This window comes from Homo sapiens, chromosome 17, assembly GCF_000001405.40.
Source record: "Homo sapiens chromosome 17, GRCh38.p14 Primary Assembly".
NCBI lineage: Eukaryota > Metazoa > Chordata > Mammalia > Primates > Hominidae > Homo > Homo sapiens.
Window position 1 is genome coordinate 38,143,184 of NC_000017.11, and position 23,214 is coordinate 38,166,397.

The 23,214-nt window shown below is 39.9% G+C and overlaps 1 long non-coding RNA gene and 1 pseudogene across 1 annotated transcript; both read right to left on the reverse strand.

The window, feature by feature from the left end:
* On the reverse strand, positions 1,018–1,104 carry RNA5SP526 (RNA, 5S ribosomal pseudogene 526; annotated as a pseudogene).
* On the reverse strand, positions 10,042–22,514 carry LOC102723933 (uncharacterized). Its single transcript, XR_429960.3, has 3 exons — positions 22,379–22,514; positions 19,257–19,364; positions 10,042–10,166 (listed from the first exon to the last, which is right to left on the reverse strand). It is a non-coding gene; the product is annotated as an uncharacterized LOC102723933 (long non-coding RNA).
* Between the last annotated feature and the right edge of the window lie 700 nt (positions 22,515–23,214).

The window sequence follows — 23,214 nt, forward strand, 5'->3', positions numbered from 1 at the left end:
GATGTGCGGACCACACCTGGCTAATTTTTTTATTTTGTTGTAGTAATGGGAATCTCACTGTTGTTTCCCAGGCTGGTCTTGAACTCCTGAACTCAGGCAATCTTCTGGCCTTAACCTCTCAAAGTGCTGGGATTACAGGTATGGGCTACAGTGCCTGGCCTTATTAAAATGTTGATGTAATAAATGGGACTACCTAGTGCTGTGCTTTCTCCTTAAAGGAGAGAGCTGACAGAATAAAACTAGCAGTAATAATCTGGTAAATTGTGCTTTCTACAGAGTAAATTTTGTTTGTCTCATGACATTTATGCAAATATTCAAATGTTTCAGGAATATAAACATTTAAAATTTGGGTTATAAATAATGCCTCCTGGCTCTGAAATTATCTGAATTCATGAAGCAATCAGTAGTAAATATGAAGGAAAAATGAAACACAGCCTTATATGCAAGGACAAACACAAATTTCTAATTCTTGTTATAATTTGGGTGCCCACCTGGTTTTGAAGGTGAGCCTTGGTCTGACTGGTTCTGAGACATTTCTCTCAAATAGCAAATGAGTAGTGGGTATGAATAGGGTACATTGGAAAGTCATGTCAAAATTCCATGTAATTTTTGGAGCGTTTTTTCTCCCATATGATTTATATAATTTGACATGTGTATTCCTATGTAAAATATTTAACCACTTCTCTACAATAAGCATTAAGTGGGCTAATTAGTATGCTCTTCTTATTCCATATTTCTGTGATTTCTCTTATCTGGAACGACTTTTTTATGCCACCCAGGCTGGAGTGCAGTGGCACATTTACTGCTCACTGCAGCCTCAACTCCCCAGGGTCAAGCCATCCTCCTATTTCAGCTTCCCTAGCAGCTAGGACTACAGGTGTGCACCACTATGCCCTGCTAATTTTTGTGTTTTTTTGTAGAGACGGGGTTTTGCTATGTTGCCCCGGCTGGTCTTGAACTCCTGAGCTCAAGAGATCCACCCACCGCAACCTCCCAAAGTGTTGGGATTACAGGCGTGAGCCACTGCACTCAGCTTCTTTTCTAATTTGTTTTTATTCTGAGATCAGATGAGATCAGCATGTTCAGGTTGGTATGGCCATAGACTGCTTTTATCTATTCTAATAATTTTGTATTGTACAATGTGTTGGAAAGGCAAGATGAAGTTAGATTATGAAGGGTTCATTTCCATTCAATTCTGTCTATCCTTCTGGACTTTGCCTAAATCTTACCTTCTTTGGAGCTTTCCTGAACTAACTTATCTCCTTTGAATTCTTACATTTGGATCCTTTGTATTTGAGTATTTTTACATATATATGTACATAAATAACACGTTTTATGTGTAGTAATTTACTCTCCCAACTAGATTGAAAGCTGCTTGAAGAGTAACCTTTTTTTAAAGTCACATTGGACCGTTTTAAGTACAAATTTAGCATATGCTTGATGATTGAGAGAAGAACCATATGGTTACAGTCATTGGTGTGTCTATGATTGTGATATGTTGCTATTTAACAATCAATAGTTATTTCTTATTTAGTTTTCTGTTAAGCCATAACCTTTTGCTCTCATTTATACGTCTTCTGAACGTTAAGTAACATGTGGCTCATATTTCAAACTCCCAATTTGGAAGTTTATAGCAATGTAACTGAAGTTTATAATTACAGGTCTCAGAAAACTGCACTACACAGAAGTTCTCTATGTGTTAGAAGAATTTATTAGAAGATAGACAATTGTAGGTTACACTGTAATTTAGAAGACTTTTGCGCATCTCATGTATTTGTGTCAGTTTGAGAATTTGAAAATGCCCCCAAAATGTCTGTTCTTCACTAGTGCCTCTTGTGATCCTGGCAGAGATAAGCTAAACTTTTGAAAGGGTAGACTTTTTCTGTTTATCTTAGTATCCTGAGTCCCTAAATCTGGAATGTAGTAGATGTTTGTGCATTTCCCTATGTCAGCGAAGTCAAAATACTAGAGGTGGATTTTTCAGCTTTTCAAAGTTTTCACATTTACTAAGTCCTTCACAGTTATCGCCTACTAGTTAAAAAACTATTTGCCTCAATTTAGGCCAGTGCTACTTTGACATTTGCATTGCTGTAAAACCCTTACTAAAAGGTATATTTTTCTGGTATATAAATACATGTATGCAGCTTTTCTCATATCTTTGAGAAAGCAAAAAATTGTACTAAATTATGATTTCCACTGTAATAGGATTATGGCTTAGTCATGATCAGTATTATGTTTTCAGCTATGTCTTACTAGGATTATTGTAAAAGACTTTCAAAATAGTTCATGTGAATCTTTGTCTGATCTTCACAAACTCGGGTATGTACATAGCTCTCCCCCACCTTCTCCTGGCTTTGGCAATTTATTTTATTTTTATGGTGGTTATATATATATATATATAAAACATACCATTTACCATTTGAACTATTTTAAAAAGTGTACAATTAGTGGCATGAAGTACATTCACAATATTGTATAACCATCACCACTGTCCATTTCCAGAACTTGTTCATCATCCCAAACAGAAATTCTCTATCCCTTTTCTTCCCCAGCCCCTGGTAACCTCTATTCTACTTTCTCTTTTTATGAATTTGCCTATTCTAGACACTTCATGGAAATAGAATCAAACAATATTTGACCTTTCTTATTTCACTTAGGATAATGTTTTCAAGGTTTATCCATGTTGTAGTACATAGCAGAATTTAATTTCTTTTTTTGACTGAATAATTTGTATATACTACATCTTGTTTATACATCCATCTGTTGATGGGACATATTTGGGTTGTTTCCACCTTTTGGCTATTGTGAATAATGTTGCTGTGAACACTGGTGTGCAAATATCTATCTGAGTCCTGCTTTCACTTCTTTTGGATATAAACCTAGGAATGGAATTGCTGGGTCATATGGTAATTCTATATTTAACCTTTTAAGGAACAGCTAACCTGGTTTCCACGGCTTCTGTACCATTTTATATTTCTACCAGCAATGCACAAGTGCTCCTTCCATTTTCTCCATATCTACCCAATACTTGTTATTTTCTGTTTTCTTTCAATTAATAACCATCCTAATGGGTGTGACATAGTATTGTCATTTTGATTTTTAGCTTCCTAATGGCTAGTGCTAATGAGCATTTTTTTATGTGCTATTGGTCATTTGTATGTCTTCTTTGGAGAAATGTCTGTTCAATCCTTTGCCCATTTTTGAATTGAGATGTGCGCTTTTTTGTTGTTGAGTTGTAGTTCTGTAGTTCTTTATACATTCTGGATATTATTCTCACATCAGATATATGATTTACAAATATTTTCTCCCAAATACTTCTGTGGGTTACAGATATATTAATATCTGTAGATTGTCTTTCATGGTCTTGATAGGATCTTTTAATGCCCAAAAGTTTTTAATTTTGATGAAATAATGTATGTAGTTTTGAACTTAAACAATGTTACAGATTGCGCAAAGGATATAACCATGAAATTCTGATGGAGTGACCCCACAGCTGCAGAAAACCAGAAAGAACCCTACTCTAAAACCCAAAAGACTTCCCTAGATAGAGTCCTTCGAAAATAATTTTCTAAATTATTCACACAGCCTGTGGATAAATTAAGAGGAAATGATATCTGTAACAGTGCTGCTTGTGATGAAAACACAGAAGAGTCAATTATATTATCAAATCTTAGCTGGAATGGAAAATCAGGAGGATATTTATTAGCAAACATTAATAAAAGGTTGGCCTTTATTATTGTAAGCATGTACACAGACGACAGCATGTAGTCTCTACCATAAGAATGAGAAATGCCTCCTATCTTTATGCATTCTGAAATTTAACCTTTCTTAACCCAATTGCTGTAAGGGCCTAGGGTTTATTTGTTATGTGTGTTATTGGAGTAGAGACTGTTTGAAGGTTAAGGGGGTATTTAGTGATGCAAGTGACATTTATATGTTTTAAAATCTTCTGCTTTTCTAGGCACTTTTTAAAATGAAATGCTATATTTTTAAACTTTTAAAAATTATTTTTATTATTTTTTGCAGAGATGAGGTCTTGCTGTGTTGCCCAAGCTGTTCTCAAACTCTTGGCCTCAAGAGATCCTCCTGCCTTGGCCTCCCAAAGTGCTGGGATTACAGGCGTGAACCACGTGCCTGGCCCAAACTTTTTAAAGACTTTATTTCTGGAGGCAGGTTCTCAAAAGATATCCTATCTTAATGGGCATATATAGAGAGAGAGTAGTAGGTGAGTTTAAGGGGGATGTAAATATTGGCCGAAAGAGGTTTCTTTTAGGTATATAACCCCTCAAATGTAGCCCTTTGGATATCAAAAGTTTATTATGGCAATGTTCTTTGTGCATTTTTATTCGATGTTGTCAGCCATTCATCTAATAACTCTTCAGAAGATTTTGTCTCTGGGCAGTGGCATTTTATAACTTCCTATATGGAAGAAAACTTTTATCCAACTGATAACTGATATGCCAATGTGTTAGTATGAAAAAATTTTCCCAACATTCTTACCAGGTGTGGTGGCTCAACCTGTAATCCCAGCACTTTGGGAGGTGGAGTCGGGCGGATCACTTGAAGTCAGGAGTTCGAGACCAGCCTGGCCAACATGGTGAAACCCTGTCTACTAAAAATACAAAAATTAGCTGGGCGTGATGGCAGGCACCTGTAATCCCAGCTACCTGGGAGGCTAAGGCAGGAGAATTGCTTGAATCTGGGAGGTGGAGGTTGCAATGAGCCAAGATTTCCTCACTGCACTCTAGCCTGAGCGACAGAGTGAGACTCTGTCTCAAAAAAAAAAGAAAAGGAAAAAAAAAGAAAATTTCCCAAAATTCAAATGTCGTTTCACTGCGTGGCTTTGTTTGATTATTAATACTTTAATACTGTGTTTAAAATTAATATTTATTATTTTTAAAAATCAGCTTCCTTAGGTCGAAGAAACATTAATGTTTAATATTAAGCTATTATTGTAGCTTAGTGTAGTTATAATAAGATACTGGAACTCATGGAAGGGGTTAGATTTTCTTCATCTTAGAAACCGTTACTTTTCATAAAATATATATTGTGCAATTATATATAAAATTATATAATAATTAGATATACAAATAAAAAATCGGATTATAGTTGGGCTCAGTGGCTCGCATTTGTAATCTCAGCTCCTTGGGAAGCTTAGACTGGAGGATTTCTTGAGTCCAGAAATTTGAGGCTGCAGTGAGCCATGATTGTGCCACTGCATTCCAGCCTGGGCGACAGGAATGAGACCCCGTCTCTAAAAATAAAAACTAAAAAAAAATAGATTATGATTGGCAAAAGATTGAGTGACAGTGAAAATGCAATGAATATTTTGACTACTATTTTTTGATTACATACATAGGAAGATACGAATTTTTCTGTCTTTCCAAATTAGTTTAGAAATTAAAGATTTGGCCGGGCATAGTGGCTCACCCCTGTAATCTGAGCACTTTGGGAGGCTGAGATAGGCAGATCACCTGAGGTCAAGAGTTTGAGACCACCCTGGCCAACATGGTGAAACCTCGTCTCTACTAAAAATACAATAAAAATTAGCTGGGCATGGTGGCATGCACCTGTAGTCCCAGCTACTTGGGGAGACTGAGGCAGGAGAATCACTTGAACCCAGGAGGCGGAGGTTGCAGTGAGCCAAGATCGTGCCACTGCACTCCAGCCTGGGCGACAGAGCGAGACTCTGTCTCAAAAACAAACAAACAACAACAAAACACCAGAAAAAGGAAAAATAGTGTTAAGAGATAACTTAGTATGTATTGTTTGTACACTTCATGGGTGTGCATATATGACGTGTTTGGTTTTATAGTGAAAATTCTAACATTCTGCTGTATGGTTTATGGTGCCTTGTAGACGTTCCTTTAAGCACTCAATGATAAAGATTAAAATTACTAAGATAGAGAGTAAATCTATGTTATATGTAGTCATTTCTCAGTTTGCATAGTAGTATGGGACTGTAAAAATGACCATGCAAGCTAAGACTATTCAAAGGGATCATAGTAATCAGTGGAAAAAATTGTGATTGTTCTGTTGGACCTTTAAAAATTTTTGTCAAAACATTAAAAACTCTCTCACAGTTGGTTATAGATATACAGGGTAAGAAGAAGCGTGGTATCCACAGAGAAGGAGGGAGCTTCATAAACAAAGACAAACAGGAATATCAACTACCAGCCACCAACAGCACTCTTGTAAAACTTATTTAAATATTACAAAAAACAATATACAAGATTACTAAGAGATTGGAAGATAAAGGGAGAAAATTTCACTAATGATCTCATCACCAAACACAGTTAATTATTTGCTGTTACTCTTTTATCAAATTAGTGTTTAGTATTGTTTTAATCATAATGTACATACAATTTTGTATCTTGCTTTTTCTGAGATGTCTGTTTCTGTCCATGTTATACATACCTATACAGTCCTGTGCTGCATGATGATGTTTTGGTTAACGATGGACTGCATACACAACTGTGATCCCATAAGATAATAGTAGAGCTGAAAAATTCCTATTGCCTAGTGACATTGTAGCCATTTACTTGTTTTTGCTTTCTGCTTTTTTTATGTAGTCATTTACTATACTAAACCTTTAATCATTATTTTAGAGTATACTCCTATTTATTTAGAAAGGTCCCCCAAGGGAGGACAGAAAACACTCATAATTTAATGTTATTGTCCTTTTCACACATATGTAGCTATATCTATTATATTTTATTTTACTTTATTTTATTTTAATTTTTGAGACAGAGTTTCACTCTGTCACCCAGGCTGGAGTGCAATGGTGCAGTCTCAGCTCACTGTGACCTCCACCTCCCAGGTTCAAGCAATTCTTCTGCCTCAGCCTCCCGAGTGGCTGGGATTACAGATGTGCACCACCATGCCTAGCTAATTTTTGTATTTTTAGTACAGACGAGGTTTCACCATGTTGGCCAGGCTGGTCTTGAACTCCTGACCTCAGGTGATCCACCTGCCCCAGCCTCCCAAAGTGCCGGGATTACAGCACTTTTACAGCATGAGCTGCCATGCCCAGCCTATTTTATTTTATTTTGTTTTATTTTATTAGAGACAGTCTTGCTCTGTCCCCAAGCCTGGAGTGCAGTGGCGTGATCGTAGCTCACTTGGCTAATTTTTAAACTTTTTGTAGATATGGGGTCTGGGTATGTTGCCCAGCCTGATCTTGAACTCCTAGGCTTAAGTGATCCTCCTGCCCTGACCTCCCAAAGTGCTGGGATTACAGGCGTGAGCCATCCTGCCCAGCCTGTATCTATTATATAAGCTGGTTTTTTTGATTACTTTAATGTAAATGAGATTATACCATACTCTCTTCTCTGTCACTTCCTATTTTCATGTAATTTATGTTAGACATCTGTCAATGTCAGTATAAATAGGTCTAGATCATTTTTTATAGTTGTATACCTTTCGTTACATGGATGTTTCACAATTTACTTAGCTAACTACCTATTGTTGGACATTTGGTTATTTCCAAATTTTTGCTGTTTTATATAATGCTGCGCTTATATAAAATATAGTTCTATATAATTATGTTTAATTATGTACTACCGCTGTATCTGACAACTGACTTGTATCAAGAACATACAAAGGACTGTTACAAGTTGCCAGGCAGAGTGGCTCATGTCTGCAATCCCAGGGCTTTGGGAGGCCAAGGTGGGCGGATCTCTTGAGCCCAGGAGTTGGAGACCAGCCTGGGCAACATGGGGAGAGCCCGTCTCGACAAAAATACAAAAATTAGCCAGGCATAGGGGCACACATCTGTAGTTCCAGCTACTTAGAGGCTGAGGTGGGAAGACTGCTTGAGCCCAGGAAGTTGAGGCTGCAGTGAGCCAAGATGACACCACGGCACTCCAGCCAGCGCGTCAAAGGCCCTGTCTCAAAAAAAAGGAAGAAGCAGGGGCGGCAAATAAGTAGAGTATAAGCCACCTCATCCAACTTTATTGGAACCAGTAGTTGACTGGTTAATCAGTCCAAGCAAGGAAGCATAAAAACTGATGCATGTGCCGGGCATGGTGGCTCACGCCCGCAATCCCCGCACTTTGTGAGACCGAGGCGGGCCGATCACCTGAGGTTAGGAGTTCGAGACCAGCCTGGCCAACATGGTGAAACCCTGTCTCTACTAAAAATACAAAAGTTAGCCATGCATGGTAGTACACGTCTGTAATCCCAGCTACTCAGGAGGCTGAGGCAAAAAAAGGAGAAGAAATGCTATGTGAAGCCTTTTTATAAGCACATTAATTTCATTCACGAGGGCAGAGCACTCATGACCTAATCACCACCTTGAAAGCCTCACTTCTTAACATCATCACATTAGGTCTTAGGTTATAACATGAATTTTGGAGGACTCCAGAAAAAAAAAGTGAAAGACAACCCACAGAATGGGAGAAAATACTTGCAAATTATGTACAAAGTAGGCTCACTTTATTTGTGGAAAATATGTAGCCAGACACAGTGGCTCATGCCTGTAATCCCAGAACTTTGGAAAGCTGAGGTGGGAGGATCACTTGAGCCCAGGAGCTCAAGACTAACCTGGGCAACATAGGGATACCCTATCTCTACAATAAATAAATAAAATTACCCAGATGTGGTGACATGTGCCTGTGGTCCCAGCTACTTGGGAGGTTGAGGTGGGAGAATCACGTGACCCCAGGAGGTTGAGGCTGCAGTGAGCCAAGATAACATTAATGTATCCCAGCCTGGGCGATAGACCGAGACCTTATCTCAAAAAAAAAAAAATATATATATATATATATGTATATATTTATCTATCTACCTATATATTCATATATAGATATAGATTAATATAGATATATAAACATATATTTATAGATACATAGATACATAAATATATAGCTATATATAAATATATATTTATAAATATATAGATATATATGTAACAAAATATGTTCCAAGACCTCCAGTGTATACCTGAAACTGCAGATAGTACCAAACTCTATATGTACTATGTTTTTTTCCTATACATACATACATACCTATGATGAAGTTTAATTTATAAATTAGGCACTGTAATAGAATAACAACAATAACTAATAATAAAAGAGAACAATTAGAATATACTTTTTGTTTTTGAGATGGAGTCTTGCTCTGTCACCCAGGCTGGAGTGCCATGGCGCCATCTCGGCTCACTGCAACTTCCACCTCCCAGGTTCAAGCGATTCTCCTGCCTCAGCCTCCCGAGTAGCTGGGCCTACAGGCACCTGCCACCACGCCCGGCTAATTTTTGTATCTTTAGTAGAGGCAGGGTTTCACCATATTGGCCAGGCTGGTCTCCAATTCCTGACCTTGTGATCCACCCACCTCGGCCTCCCAAAGTGCTGGGATTACAGGTGTGAGCCACTGTGCCTGGCTAGAATATACTTTAACATAAGTTACATGAATAGTTTTCTCTGTCTCAAAATACTGTAATATTTGGGATTGCAGCTGCCCGCAGGTAACTGAAACTGCAGAGAGCATACGGGAGACTACAGTATCTGACAATGGACTTGGATCTAGAATACATAAAGAACTCTTACAACTTGATAATAAAAAGGATATAACCCAATTTTAAAATGGACAAAAGATCTGAACAGATATTTCTCCAAAGAAGACATACAAATGGCCAATAAGGGCCAGGTGGTGGCTTATGCCTATAATCCCAACACTTTGGGAGGCCAAGGCAGGTGGATCACTTGAGGCCAGAAGTTCAAGACCAGTCTGGCCAACATGGCGAAAACCCATCTCTACTAAAAATATAAAAATCAGCCAGGCGTTGTGGCGCATGCCTGTAGTCCCAGGTACTCAGGCAGATGAGGCACAAGAATCACTCGAACCCGGGAGGCAGAGGTTGCAATGAGCTAAGATTGCACCACTGCACTCCAGCCTGGGCAACAGAGCAAAACCCCACCTAAAAATAAATAAGTAAATAAAAATAAAAGAAAGAAAATAAATGGCCAATAAGCACAAGAAAATACACTCAATTTCTGTCTTAGTCTGTTTGTGCTGCTGTAACAAAATACCTGAGACTAAGTAATTTATAAGTAAAAAAATTTATTCCTCACAGTTCCGGAGGCTGGGAAATCCAAAATCAAGGTGATAGCACATTTGGCATTTGGTGAGGGCCTGTTCCATTGTTCCCGTTCTCGCAGTGGCATCTTCACATGGCAGGAGAAGAAAGGAAAAAAGAAGAAGAAATGTTATGTGAAGCCTTTTTATAAGGGCATTAATTTCATTCACGAGGGCAGAGCCCTCATGACCTAATCACCACCTTGAAGGCCTCACTTCTTAACATCGTCACATTAGGTCTTAGGTTATAACATGAATTTTGGAGGACTCCAACATTCAAACCATAGAAACATCATTAGCCATCAGGGAAGTGCAAATCCAAACCATGTTAAGATACCACTTCACACTCACAAGAATGGCTATAATAAACAGACACATAATAACAAGTGTTGGAGAAAATGTGGAAAAATTGAAACACTCATATGTTGCTGGAGGGAATGTAAAATGCTTTGCAATGAAGTTGGAACTGCTTTGGAAATAGTCTGGCAGTTCCTCCAAAGCTTAAACATAGAGTTATCATATGACCTGGCAATGCCAGGCTTCATCATATTCCCAAGGGAAAGGAAAACATATGTCCACACAAAAACTTACACATGAATGTTCATAGCAGCATTATTCATAATAGTCAAAAAGTGGAGACAGCTGGGTGTGGTGGCTCCCAACACTTTGGGAGGCCAAGGCGGGAGGATTGCTTGAGGTCAGGAGTTCGAGACCAGCCTGGCCAACAGAGTGAAATCCGATCTCTACTGAAAATACAAAAATCAGCGGGACATGGTATACGTGCCTGTAATCCCAGCTACTTGGGAGGCTGAGGCAGGTGAATGGCTTGAATCCAGGAGGCGGAGGCCGCAGTGAGCCAAGATCACACCACCGTACTCCAGCCTGAGTGACAGACTGAGACTCCATCTCAAAAAAAAAAAAAAAAAAGTGATAAACAGATAAATGAAATGTGTTATATTCCTACAACAGAATATTATTGAGCCATAAAAAAAAAGGAAATAAGTACTGACACATGCTATAACATGAATGAACCTTGAAAACATTAGGTTACTTGAAAAAAGCCAGTCACAAAAGATCACAAATTGTATGGTTCCATTTATATGAAATGTCCAAATAGGCAAATCCTATCCTAAAAGAAAGTAAATTAGTGGTTGCCTAGGACTGAGGGATGGAGGAAATGGGGAGTGACTGCTCATAGGTATGGTATTTTTTTTTGAGAGAAATGAAAATATTCTAAAATTGATTGTGGTGGCCAGGCACAGGGGCTCACGCCTGTAATCCCAGCACTTTGAGAGGCCGAGGCGGGCGGATCACCTGAGGTCGGGAGTTCGAGACTAGCCTGACCAACATGGAGAAACCCCGTCTCTACTAAAAATACAAAATTAGCCGGGCATGGTGGTGCATACCTGTAATCCCAGCTACTCGGGAGGCTGAGGCAGGAGAATCGCTTGAACCAGGGAGGTGGAGGTTGCAGTGAGCTGAGATCGTGCCACTGCACTCCAGTCTGGCGAGAGAGTGAGGCTCCATCTCATAAAAAAAAAAAAAGAAAGAAAGAAAAAAGAAAAAAAAGAATGTTTCAGGCAAAGGGAAGAGAAGTGCAATGGTGCTATTTCAGGCAGAAGCTTGTCAGGTTTGCTGTGGTGTGGTAGTGTGGAAGGACTCAGTGGGAAGGAAAAGAAATGAGGGCACAGTAGTGGGCAGGGCCAAGATAAAGCCATACGCATACTGCTACATTTTTTCCTTGTCCAATATATTTCATTAAATGTAGACAAAACTTATTATAAAGACATAACTTTTGATGTTTGTAAGGTCATCTGTTATTTGCACTCCTTTTTTTTTTGAGATAGGGTCTCACTCTGTCACCCAGGCTGGAGTGCAGTGTTGCCACCACAGCTCACAGCAGCCTCGACCTCCTGAGCTCAAGTACTCCTCCCACCTTAGCCTCCTGAGTATCTGGGACTACAGGCACATGCCACCGTGCCCCACTAATTTTTTATTTTTTGTAAAGACAGGGTTTCTCCATGTTACCCAGGCTGGTCTCAAACTCTTGAGCTCAAACAATCTACCCACCTTGGTCTCCCAAAGAGCTAAGATTACAGGCGTGAGCCACTGTGCCTGGCTTGTTATTTGCATTTGTGATTTTAAAATTCCATGTTTTTTATCATAAGATTGTCAGGTGCTTTCTGGACAGGAAATGCCTTAATTTATGACTCAAAATACAAACAAGTGTAGGTGATCAAATGCATATCTATGTCTTCAATGGAAATATATATACATACAAGTCATTAACGAAGACAAATGAGAACATGAAATTCATGACCTATTTTCCTTTCCATCACCTAGCCCCCTAAAGGAGAGATCTTTTTCATTCAGAGCCCTGGGTTTTGTTTTGTTTCATGATTTGCTTTTTTTTTTTTAAAAATAAGAGTTTATTTATTTATTTATTTGAGACAAGGTTTCACTCCCATCAGCCAGGCTGGAGTGCAATGGCGTGATCTCAGTTCACTGCAACTTCTGCCTCCTGGACTCAAGTGACTCTCTTGCCTCAGCCTCCTGAGTAGCTGGGACTACAGGCACGTGCCGCTGCATCCAGCTAATTTTTTGTAGAGACAGGGTTTCACCGTGTTGGCCAGGCTGGTCTTGAACTCCTGAGTTCAAGCGATCCGTCTGCCTCTGAGTCTCAAAGTGCTAGGGTTACAGGAATGAGCCGCCGCGTGGCCAAAAGAGTTTATTTTTTAAAGAAAATTGACTTCTTTGAAAACGTAGAAATGAGGCCGGGCGCAGTGGCTCACACCTGTAATTCCAGCACTTTGTGAGGCCGAGGCAGGTAGATCGCTTGAACTGAAGAGTTTGAGACCAATCTGGCCAACATGGTGAAACCCCATCTCTACTAAAAATACAAACATTAGCCGGGTGTGGTGGCAGGTGCCTGTAATCCCAGCTACTCGGGAGGCTGAGGCAGGAGAATCGCTTGAACCCGGGAGGCGGAGGTTGCAGTGAGCCAAGATTGCGCCATTGCACTCCAGCCTGGGCAACAAGAGCAAAACTCCATCTCAAAAAGAAAAGAAAAAGTAGAAATGAGGAAGCGGCCAGCCTGTGTGGGGATCTAATCAAACAAATCTTCCCCTGATGAGGGTAGCACTTAAGTTGAAAAAAATTTGCCTATATAATAAATATTGCAATACTTTATTTATTTATTTATTTATTTATTTTTCGAGATGAGGGTCTCGCTGTGTTGCCCAGGCTAGTCTTGAACTCTTGGGCTCAAGGGCTTCTCCTGCCTCAGCCTCCCCAGTGGCTGGGCTAATAGGCACACACCACCATGCCCAGCTCTACATACTGATTTTTTTTTTTTGAGATGGAGTCTTCGCTCTGTCGCCCAGGCTGGAGTGCAGTGGCGCGATCTCCGCTCACTGCAAGCTCCGCCTCCCGCGTTCACGCCATTCTCCTGCCTCAGCCTCCCGAGTAGCTGGGACTACAGGCGCCTGCCACTGCGCCCACTAATTTTTTGTATTTTTAGTAGAGACGGGGTTTCACCGTGTTAACCAGGATGGTCTCGCTCTGCTGACCTCGTGATCCGCCCGCCTCGACCTCCCAAGGTGCTGGGATTACAGGCGTGAGCCACCGCGCCCGGCCCATACTGATTTTGAAATTTAAAAAATCTACATTCTATATTCGCATCATAGCTTCTCCCTAATAAAATCTTTGTGAGTGTTTATGGGACTTATTCCCCGAAAAATCTGCAAGCAGCCTGGTAGCTTTATATACACAGGAAAGCCAAAGGACAAACTAGGAATTACGTCAGAGATGGGGAAAGACTAAGGATCTTACCCAAATCAGTTGAGAATCAGCCTTAAGTATAAATGGGCCAGGTGTTGGTGGCTCACACCTGTAATCCTAGCACTTTGGGAGGCCAAGACGGGCAGATCACTTGAGGTCAGGAGTTCGAGACCACCCTGGCCAACATGGTGAAACCCCGTCTCTACTAAAAGTACCAAAATTAGCCAGGCGTGGTGGCACGTGCCTGTGGTCCCAGCTACTTGGGAGGCTGAGGCAGGAGAATCGCTTGAACCTGGGAGGCAGAGGTTGCAGTGAGCTGAGATCACGCCACTGCACTCCAGCCTGGGTGACAGAGTAAGACTCTGTCTCAAAAAAAAAAAAAAAGTATAAATGAAGCACAATTAACATTTGTTAATTTTATAAAGCAAAAGTTCATAAAAATAAATATTCTAATTAACTCTCCTACATCTTATAAACACTATTACCAAACCCATTTAAGATTGAAGATAAATTATATCATGGCATGGGTAAAGATTTTCAATAAGGAGTTGCTAGGATAAAAGTCAAAATTCTCCAGCATAAATTCACTGACAGGGATTTCTGTTTAATCTTTTCAAAATTCTAATACCCAATTTGTTTCCTCTAGAGAATAACTCGTGTAGAATCATAACCTCTTTGGTGGACCTTGATTTTTCCATCTGTAAAAGTATAGAACTAGTTTTGACTTAACAGTCAACAAATGCCTACCCTCTCCACATCTAGCTGATTAGAGCGCCCTCATGTGCGCATTTGCTGTAATGTTTTAGAAATCTGAAAAAGACAATATTAATCTCAGCAGTAATACAATAAATAATGTCTTCATTTGCACATTTATAGCAAATGCTATAAATATATAGCTCCAAGTATTACTCAGTAAAAGCTAAAGGCAAATGCTGTAGTAGGTTAATCTTACTGTCGTTCACTATCAAACCTTTCATATGCCAATTTTATCCTAAAACAGTGAAGTTATTGTTTTGGTTTCAATTTTAATTTAATGACTTAAAGGATTTTTTCCCTTAAAACTTCTAAGTATTTCATTATAATATTATTTCATCATTAGGCTTAAAGGAAAATATGTGGTCAATTGAGTTGTTATTTATTATACATGATAGCTTGACATCATCTTTTTAGGGATGGAAAACAGCTCCAGGGACCAAGTCTAACTCAGTTTTTTGATATAAGAATTTACCTGTCGGCCGGGCGCAATGGCTCACACCTGTAATCCCAGCACTTTGGGAGGCCGAGGCGGGCGGATATAGGTCAGCAGATCAAGACCAGGAGTTCAAGACCAGCCTGGCCAAGATGGTGAAACCCCATCTGTACTAAAACTACAAAAATTAGCCAGGCGTGATGGCAGGCACCTGTAATCCCACCTACTTGGGAGGCTGAGGCAGGAGAATCACTTGAACCCGGTTCAAGTGAGCCGGTTGCAGTGAGCCAAGATCACGCCACTGCACTCCAGCCTGGGCAATAAGAGCAAGACTCCATCTCAAAAAAAAAAAAAAAAAAAAAAGAATTTACTAGTTTGAATCATAACAATTTCTTCCTACTCAAAGAGACTACATTGGAGGAAGCCAAAACAGAAGCTTATTTATTTATTTATATACTTTATTTATTTATTTTTGAGACAGAGTCTTGCTCTGTCACCCAGGCTGGAGTACAGTGGTGTGATCTTGGCTCACTGCAACATCTGCCTCCCGGGTTCAAGCGATTCTCCTGCCTCAGCCTCCCTAGTAGCTGGGATTACAGGTGTGTGCCACCACGGCCAGCTAATTTTTGTATTTTTAGTAGAGACGGGTTTTCACCATGTTGGCCAGGCTGGTCTCAAACTCCTGACCTCAGGTGATCCACCTGCCTCAGCCTCCCAAAGTGCTGGGATTACAGGCATGAGCCACCAAGCCCAGCTTAGAGAAGCTTATTTTTTAAAAGAAAATACACAAAAAAATCAAAATCTCATAAGTCCAATTGTAATTTTTTTTTGGCTTTTAAAAATTGTTAATGCCCTCAAATATTCTCCTATCCAATCACTGTATTTTAAATGGCATTCCTCCAGCAAATATTTGTTGAGCCCCCACTATGTGCCAGGATTGAAATGTCAAATTGAAGGAGGCAATAGCTACTGAAGTAAAGCAAAAAAAAGTACTGGTTATTTTTCCTTCTATAAAATGACCTAGTAATAACCGCTTTACCCAGGAGAGTTGCTGTAAAGATCTAATAACATGACACATATAACCACACCCCTAAAGAATGAGGTGTTACTGCATGTTCTCACTCATAGGTGGGAATTGAACAATGAGAACACATGGACACAGGAAGGGGAACATCACACTCTGGGGACTGTTGCGGGGTGTGGGGAGGGGGGAGGGATAGCATTAGGAGATATACCTAATGCTAAATGACGAGTTAATGGGTGCAGCACACCAGCATGGCACATGTATACATATGTAACTAACCTGCACATTGTGCACATGTACCCTACAACTTAAAGTGTAATAATAATAAAATAATAAAATAAAAAAAAGAAATTTTGCTTAAATAAATATTATAATAAAAAAAACAAATGAGGTGTTATTAAAATGTTTGCAAGAGAAACCCTAGTAATTCCAAGCACATATTTTAGGAATGGTTTCTTGTGTAGAAAATCCTGGAATGTGAGGCTCTGCTGATTTTTTTAATGCATATTCTCTTCTTATGTATGCGGAATTTTTTTTTTTTTTTGAGATAGAGCCTTGCTCTGTTGCCCAGGCTGGAATGCACTGGCACGATCTTGGCTCACTGCAACTGCCACCTCCTGGTTTCAAGTGATTCTCCTGCCTCAGCCTCCCGAGTAGATGGAATTACAGGCGTGTGCCACCGCACTTGGCTAATATTTGTATTTTTAGTAGAGATGGGGTTTCACCATATTGGCCAGGCTGTTCTAGAACTCCTGACCTTGTGATCCACCCACTTCAGCCTCCCAAAGTGCTGGGATTACAGGCATGAGCCACTGCACCTGGCCTATTTTTGTTTTTACTAATGTTTCAAGAGACCCACTTTATGTACAGAATTCTGGCTACAACCTAACAAATGAGTTGCTCTGTTCATCAGTTATAGCCAATTTAAGTAATTATGAAAAGCTCAACAATACTTTTAACTGGCAATGAAAGCGTCAATAGCTCACATTTACCACCACAACTTAGGATTTCTTGGTAGCTAAATAAAATGCTTCTATTTTGTGGGGGGAAACTGTCACATAAGTTGAAATTCTGCAATGTTCAATTGATGAAAAGGTCTCTATGTTAAATCAAAGGTATAAATTCCACATCAGTAGTACATGAAAGAGAAAAAAAAAGCCAAAATTAAAGTGATTCATGCCCACTTCCCTGAGTGAACCTAAGATTTTACTAACAGAGATGCCGTAACTTTGATCATGCACACATCAAACTTGAATTTAAAAACATGCATGCACTCACTCATCTTTTATCTCTTATGTAATTAATACTGTAAGATTATATTTTGCCTACGTGCTCTATATTACTAATTTATAGGATTATTACTATTCAGTGTTGTTTACTTGAAACCATACTGTACTATACACAACTTTTGCATTCCATGCTAACTTTATTTTTTTAATTATTTTTTTTTTATACAGAGTCTCACTCACTCTATTGCCCAGGCTGGAGTGCAGTGGCACGATCTTGGCTCCTGCAACCTCTGCCTCTCGGGTTCAAGTCATTCTCCTACCTCAGCCTCCCAAGTAGTTGGTACCACAGGTACATGCCACCACACCCGGCTAATTTTTGTATTTTTGGTAGAGATGGGGTTTCACCATGTGGGCCAGGCTGGTCTCGAACTCCTGACCTCAAGGTTATAGGCCTGAGCCACCATGTCCCAGCTCCATGCTAACTTTAGAGCTTATTTCCCATCCCATAAGATACAACACTACTTGTGTTATATAGTGAGCAGTGTGGGGAAGAAAAGCATAGAATTAAGTTAGTGACAAATCCAGTGAACTCAAAAAGAGGGAAAAAAACACTCCCAAACAATTGTTTTCCCCATATTCTATTCTCCCTAGAGGTATTCCATACAGGAACGACAAAAGAAAAAAAAGGATACAAAATGAGAAAGATGTTCATGTGACATATAAGTACAGTAATAAAATCAACAAGCATATATGGTATTTAAGCAAAATAGTATGTATGCATTGATGGTCATCTGATATAAATCCATCATTTCTGTTGGCCAACATCTAAAACCTTTACTTTTCTGAGGAGACAAGCTATAAATCTATACGGATATTTCTACAACGAGAATTCACTATTACATATGAACCAATATAATTTGATGTCAAATATTCACAATTAGGTTTAAAAAATCCCCTACTTGGCCGGGCGCAGTGGCTCATGCCTGTAATCCCAGCACTTTGGGAGGCCAAGGCGGGTGGATCATGAGGTCAAGAAATCAAGACCATCCTGGCCAACATGGTGAAGCCCTGTCTCTACTAAAAATACAAAAATTAACTGGGCGTGGTGGCAGGCACCTGTAGTCCCAGCTACTCAGGAGGCTGAGGCAGGAGAATCACTTGAACCCAGGAGGCAGAGGTTGCAGTGAGCTGAGATCGCGCCACTGCACCCCAGCCTGACGACAGAGTGAGACTCGGTCTCAAAAAAAAAAAAAAAAAAAATCCCCTACTTATGTTAAGAGTACCAAAAATAGGGCCAGGAATGATGGCTCATGCCTATAATTTTGGCACTTTGGGAAGCCGAGGTGGGAAGATAGCTTGAGTCCAGGAGTAAAATAGTGAGACTCTGTCTCTACAAAAAAATAAAAAATTAGCTGGATGGGGCACACACCTGTAGTCCAGGTACTCACGAGGCTGAAATGGGTGGATCACTTGAGCCTGGGAGGTCAAGGCTGTAGTGAACTGTGATCACACCACTACACCCTACACCCAGCCTGGGCTACAAGGTGAGACCCTGTCTCAAAAAAAAAAAAAAAAAAAAAAAGGTACCAAAAATCTATAGCTGTTTCAGAAATAAAATACATGTAGTTAGTGAGGTTTTTCTCTCCCACTGCTATGACTTAATTTTTGGTTGAGATGCTAAGCCAAACATCATTTTAAGTCTGTGGCCCAACCAAAAAAGGGAATCATACTCTCCAAAGAATTGTACATTCCCACTCTAATTGCTAAAATAAAATGTTGGATTATGAAAATCAATTTTGTAGGTATCAATAAGTTATAAGAGCATGGCTTATTTAAAAAAAAAAGTGGGCCAGGTTACCTACATGAGCTGCAAAGCAAGCAAACTGAATTTTCTTATCGAAGAGCCCATCCTCATACTTAAAATTTCCCATGACTACATGGAAATTCTTTCACTTACCAAAAACACCTGATTGGCACTTTCACTGAGAGTTGTGTCATCTGGGCTGTCGACAGGTGTCTGACGTGTAAACTTGGAATCAAACTGACTTACATCCTCTTCAGATTGCTCTATACAAACAAAATAATTTAGAAAATAATGAATAGTCCATATGACATCAATCAAATGCACTGTAAGCTCTGGGAGCTCTTTTCGCAGGGGTTAACTATAATAAAGTATTAGAATAGTCTTAGCAGGCACTATTCTAATAGTGGAGAAATGCAAGTGGAAGAAAAAAATGCAAGTGGAAAGTACTGAGTCAAATTACATCTTCAAATCTTAAACATGCACTAAAAAAGATTTTAGTATACTGTTATTCCTATTAAAAATGTGAATATATTGGCTGGGCATGGTGGCTCAGGCCTGTAATCCCAGCACTTTGGGAGGCTGAGGCAGGCAGATCATGAGGTCAGGAGTTCAAGACCAGCCTGGCCAATAAAGCGAAACCCCGTCTCTACTAAAAATACAAAACATCAGCCGGGCGTGGTGGCGGGCGCCTGTAATCCTAGCTACTCGGGAGGCTGAGGCAGGAGAATTGCTTGAACCTGGGAGGCAGAGGTTGCCGCAAGCAGAGATCGTGCCACTGCACACCAGCCCAGGTGACGGTGCGAGAGTCTGTCTCAATGAAAAAAAAAAAAAAAAAAGAATATATCGAGCTCAAAACAAGCTGGAAAAAATGTGAATATCAATTTCCCCTCTCACAAAGCTTCAGTGTGCCTAGTCCACTGGCTAAATCCCTGTTTAGAGATAATTAATTCAGTTGGCTACTGCACGTTTGTAATAAACCTGAAAAACTACTGAAGCAGAGTTAAAACATGAATAATACTGGTAAGATGCTCCAGTTAAAGTTTCTTCCCACAGCTCATTTCATTCCTTCAGAAATCTAAAGGAGCAAAAATAATTTTCTATTCCGCATGGGTTATAAGTTATATTTCCTTGTGAAAGTATAGTTATCACTTCAGTTCTAACCATGAGATTTATTTATTTAATTCCTTCTCTCTTTCCCAAAATATCTGGTTAAACTCTTGGGCCAAATGTAAGAAGTAAATAATAATTTAGAATATCTGACTTAATACTAAAAGATGATGACCACATTGACCTTATAATTCTCTTAGAGCCCAGACTGTGAACCTGCACTCCCTGGAGGAATGGCTGATTCCAAGTGTGGGGAAAATGTACAAGATAAGCATAGAACACCAGTTTCCTTATTTTGCTCTCTCGTACAACACCAGACAATGTGCTCATGTCAAAAGGACTCAGAACCCAACATGAAGATGCACCCAGCATTCACTGCACCCAGCATTCAACGAAGGGAAAAAACGAGCACCAATAAAAATAACTGCTAGGTGCGGTGGCTCACGCCTATCATCCCAACACTTTGGGAGGCAGAGGCAGGTGGATTGCTTTTGAGCTCAGGATTTGAAGACCAGCCTGGTGAACACGGCAAAACCCCGTCTCTACCAGAAACACAAAAATTAGCTGGGCATGATGGTGTACCTGTGGTCCCAGCTACTCAAGAGGGTGAGGTGGGAGGATTGCTGGAGGTCGGGACGTCAAGCCTGCAGTGGGCAGCGATCATACCACTGCACTACAGCTTGGGTGACAGAGTTAAGACCCTGCCTCAAAACAATAAATGAATAAATAAAAATAAAATAAAAATAACTGCGATGAAAGGAAACACAAATATGTTAAAACGTGTAAGTTCATAATATACTAAAAAAGAAAAAAACACACACAAAGTTCATTGGTCAATTTTGGAAGATGCTAGGGAACTAATTCATTATTTTGAAAACTAGGAAAGAATCAAACATACATCCTGCCTTTTCTGTATGAACTGTACCTTGGGTAACTAACTGATCAAAGAGTTTCTCTTTATGAAAGAATTCCAGCTAACAAAGAAAGAAGAAATAACAGTTAGAATAAAACCATTTCACAAACACCTGATGAAACTACAAAAGTAGGCCAGAGTTTCTCAACCTCAGGGCTACTGACATTTTAGGCCTATTAATACTTTGCGTTAGGGGGCTGTGCTGTGCTGTGCTGACTCTTACCCCTGAAGGTACCTATAGCATTCCCTCTCCCAAGCTGTGACAATCAGTGTGTCTCCAGACATTGCCAAATTACCCTGGTAGTGAAATGCTGACACAGGCAGTGACCACTAACATCACTAAAAAAACACACATACGCACACACAAGTACACATTATGCCTCCTGATCAAAGCATATGCGATACTGAGAGTGTAATCTGAATCAGATCAACCACCTAAATTTAACTACCAGTTTTTGGAAATTTGGGGAACAGATGAACATGGTCAATGACACTCTGGGGATAATATCAGCAAAATCAAAATTTGAGAATTCTACAGGACAAATGACCCCGTTTCTTCAGTAAATCACGAGGGGAATCTATAAAAGAAAAGAGACCTAAGAGACATAGTAACCAAACTACATACAGACCTTGATTAAATCCTTACAAACAGGAGAAAAAAAAAAAAAGAATGGAACAACAACAAAAAAAAAATTAGGTGGGGCAACACAGGGAGACCTCATCTCTAGAAAAATTCAAAAAATTGGATGTGGTGATGCACCCCTGTGGTCCCAGCTATATGGGAGGATCCCTTGAGCCTGGGAAGATGAGGCTGCCATGAGCCACTATCATGCCACTGCACTCCAGCCTGGGCAACAGAGAAAGACCCTATCTCAAAAAAAAAAAAGAGAAAAAAAAAACTGGGGAAACTGTCAACTTCTTAGGTGTGATGATGGGATGACAGTTATGTTTAAAGAAGATGATCTAATTATTTTTAAGCTGGGCAGTAGGTGTATGACAGTTCTCCTCCTTACAATTGTTTGTTGTTTTTTAAAGTGGGTCACATTATGGGGCATGACCAAAAAATAATCACCATCATCATCCTCCTCCTTCTCCACCTACAGCCCAAGGAATGGAAAAAGAAACTGTTTTCTCAGATTCTGAGGTGGCAGAAAGACAATAACACACTAACTCATTTACTCATAAACATATTGTTATGGATTGAATCGTGTCCCTTACCCACCCCCCAGAAAATTTCGTATGTTGAAACTCTAACCTCTAGTTCCTCAGAATGTGACCTTATTTGGAAAGGGTTATTGCAGATGTAATTAGTGAAGATGAGGTCCTACTGGAGTAGAGAGGAACCCTAATCCAATATGCCTGGTATCCTTATAAAAAGGGGAAATTTGTCCACAGATATGCACACAGGTAGAACACCATGTGAACATGAAGGCAGAGATCCAGGTGATGCACCTACAAGCCAAAGTATGCCAAAGATGAGCAGCAAACCACCAGAAGCCAGGGGAGAGGCATGGAACATAAGGTTTCTCACAGTTGTCGAAGAAACCAACTCTAACAACGTGATCTAGAACTTCTAGTCTCCAGATCTATGAGATAATAAATTTCTGTTGTCTAAGCCACCCAGTTTGTGGTACTTTGTTGCAGCAAGCCTAGCAAACTAATGCACACATATTCTATATTTTGAAGAAAAAATTCCCAGAGAATCATATTTAAAATGGTTAAATTAAGCAAAATAAAACAAACCAAAAAAAGAAAAGTCCCAACTACCTGAAATATTTAATTGTCTTAGGAAACTGACTTAAAAATATCTAATACAGGCCGGGCGCGGTGGCTCACGCCTGTAATCCCAGCACTTTGGGAGGCCGAGGTGGGTGGATCACAAGGTCAGGAGTTCAAGACCAGCCCGGCCAAGATGATGAAATCCTGTGTCTACTAAAAATACAAAAATTTGCTGGGCATGGTGGCAGGTGTCTGTAATCCCAGCTACTCAGGAGGCAGAGGCAGAGATTTGCTTGAACCCAGGAGGTGGAGGCTGCGGTGATCCGAGATCACACCACTGCACTCCAGCCTGGGGGACAGATCAAGACTCCG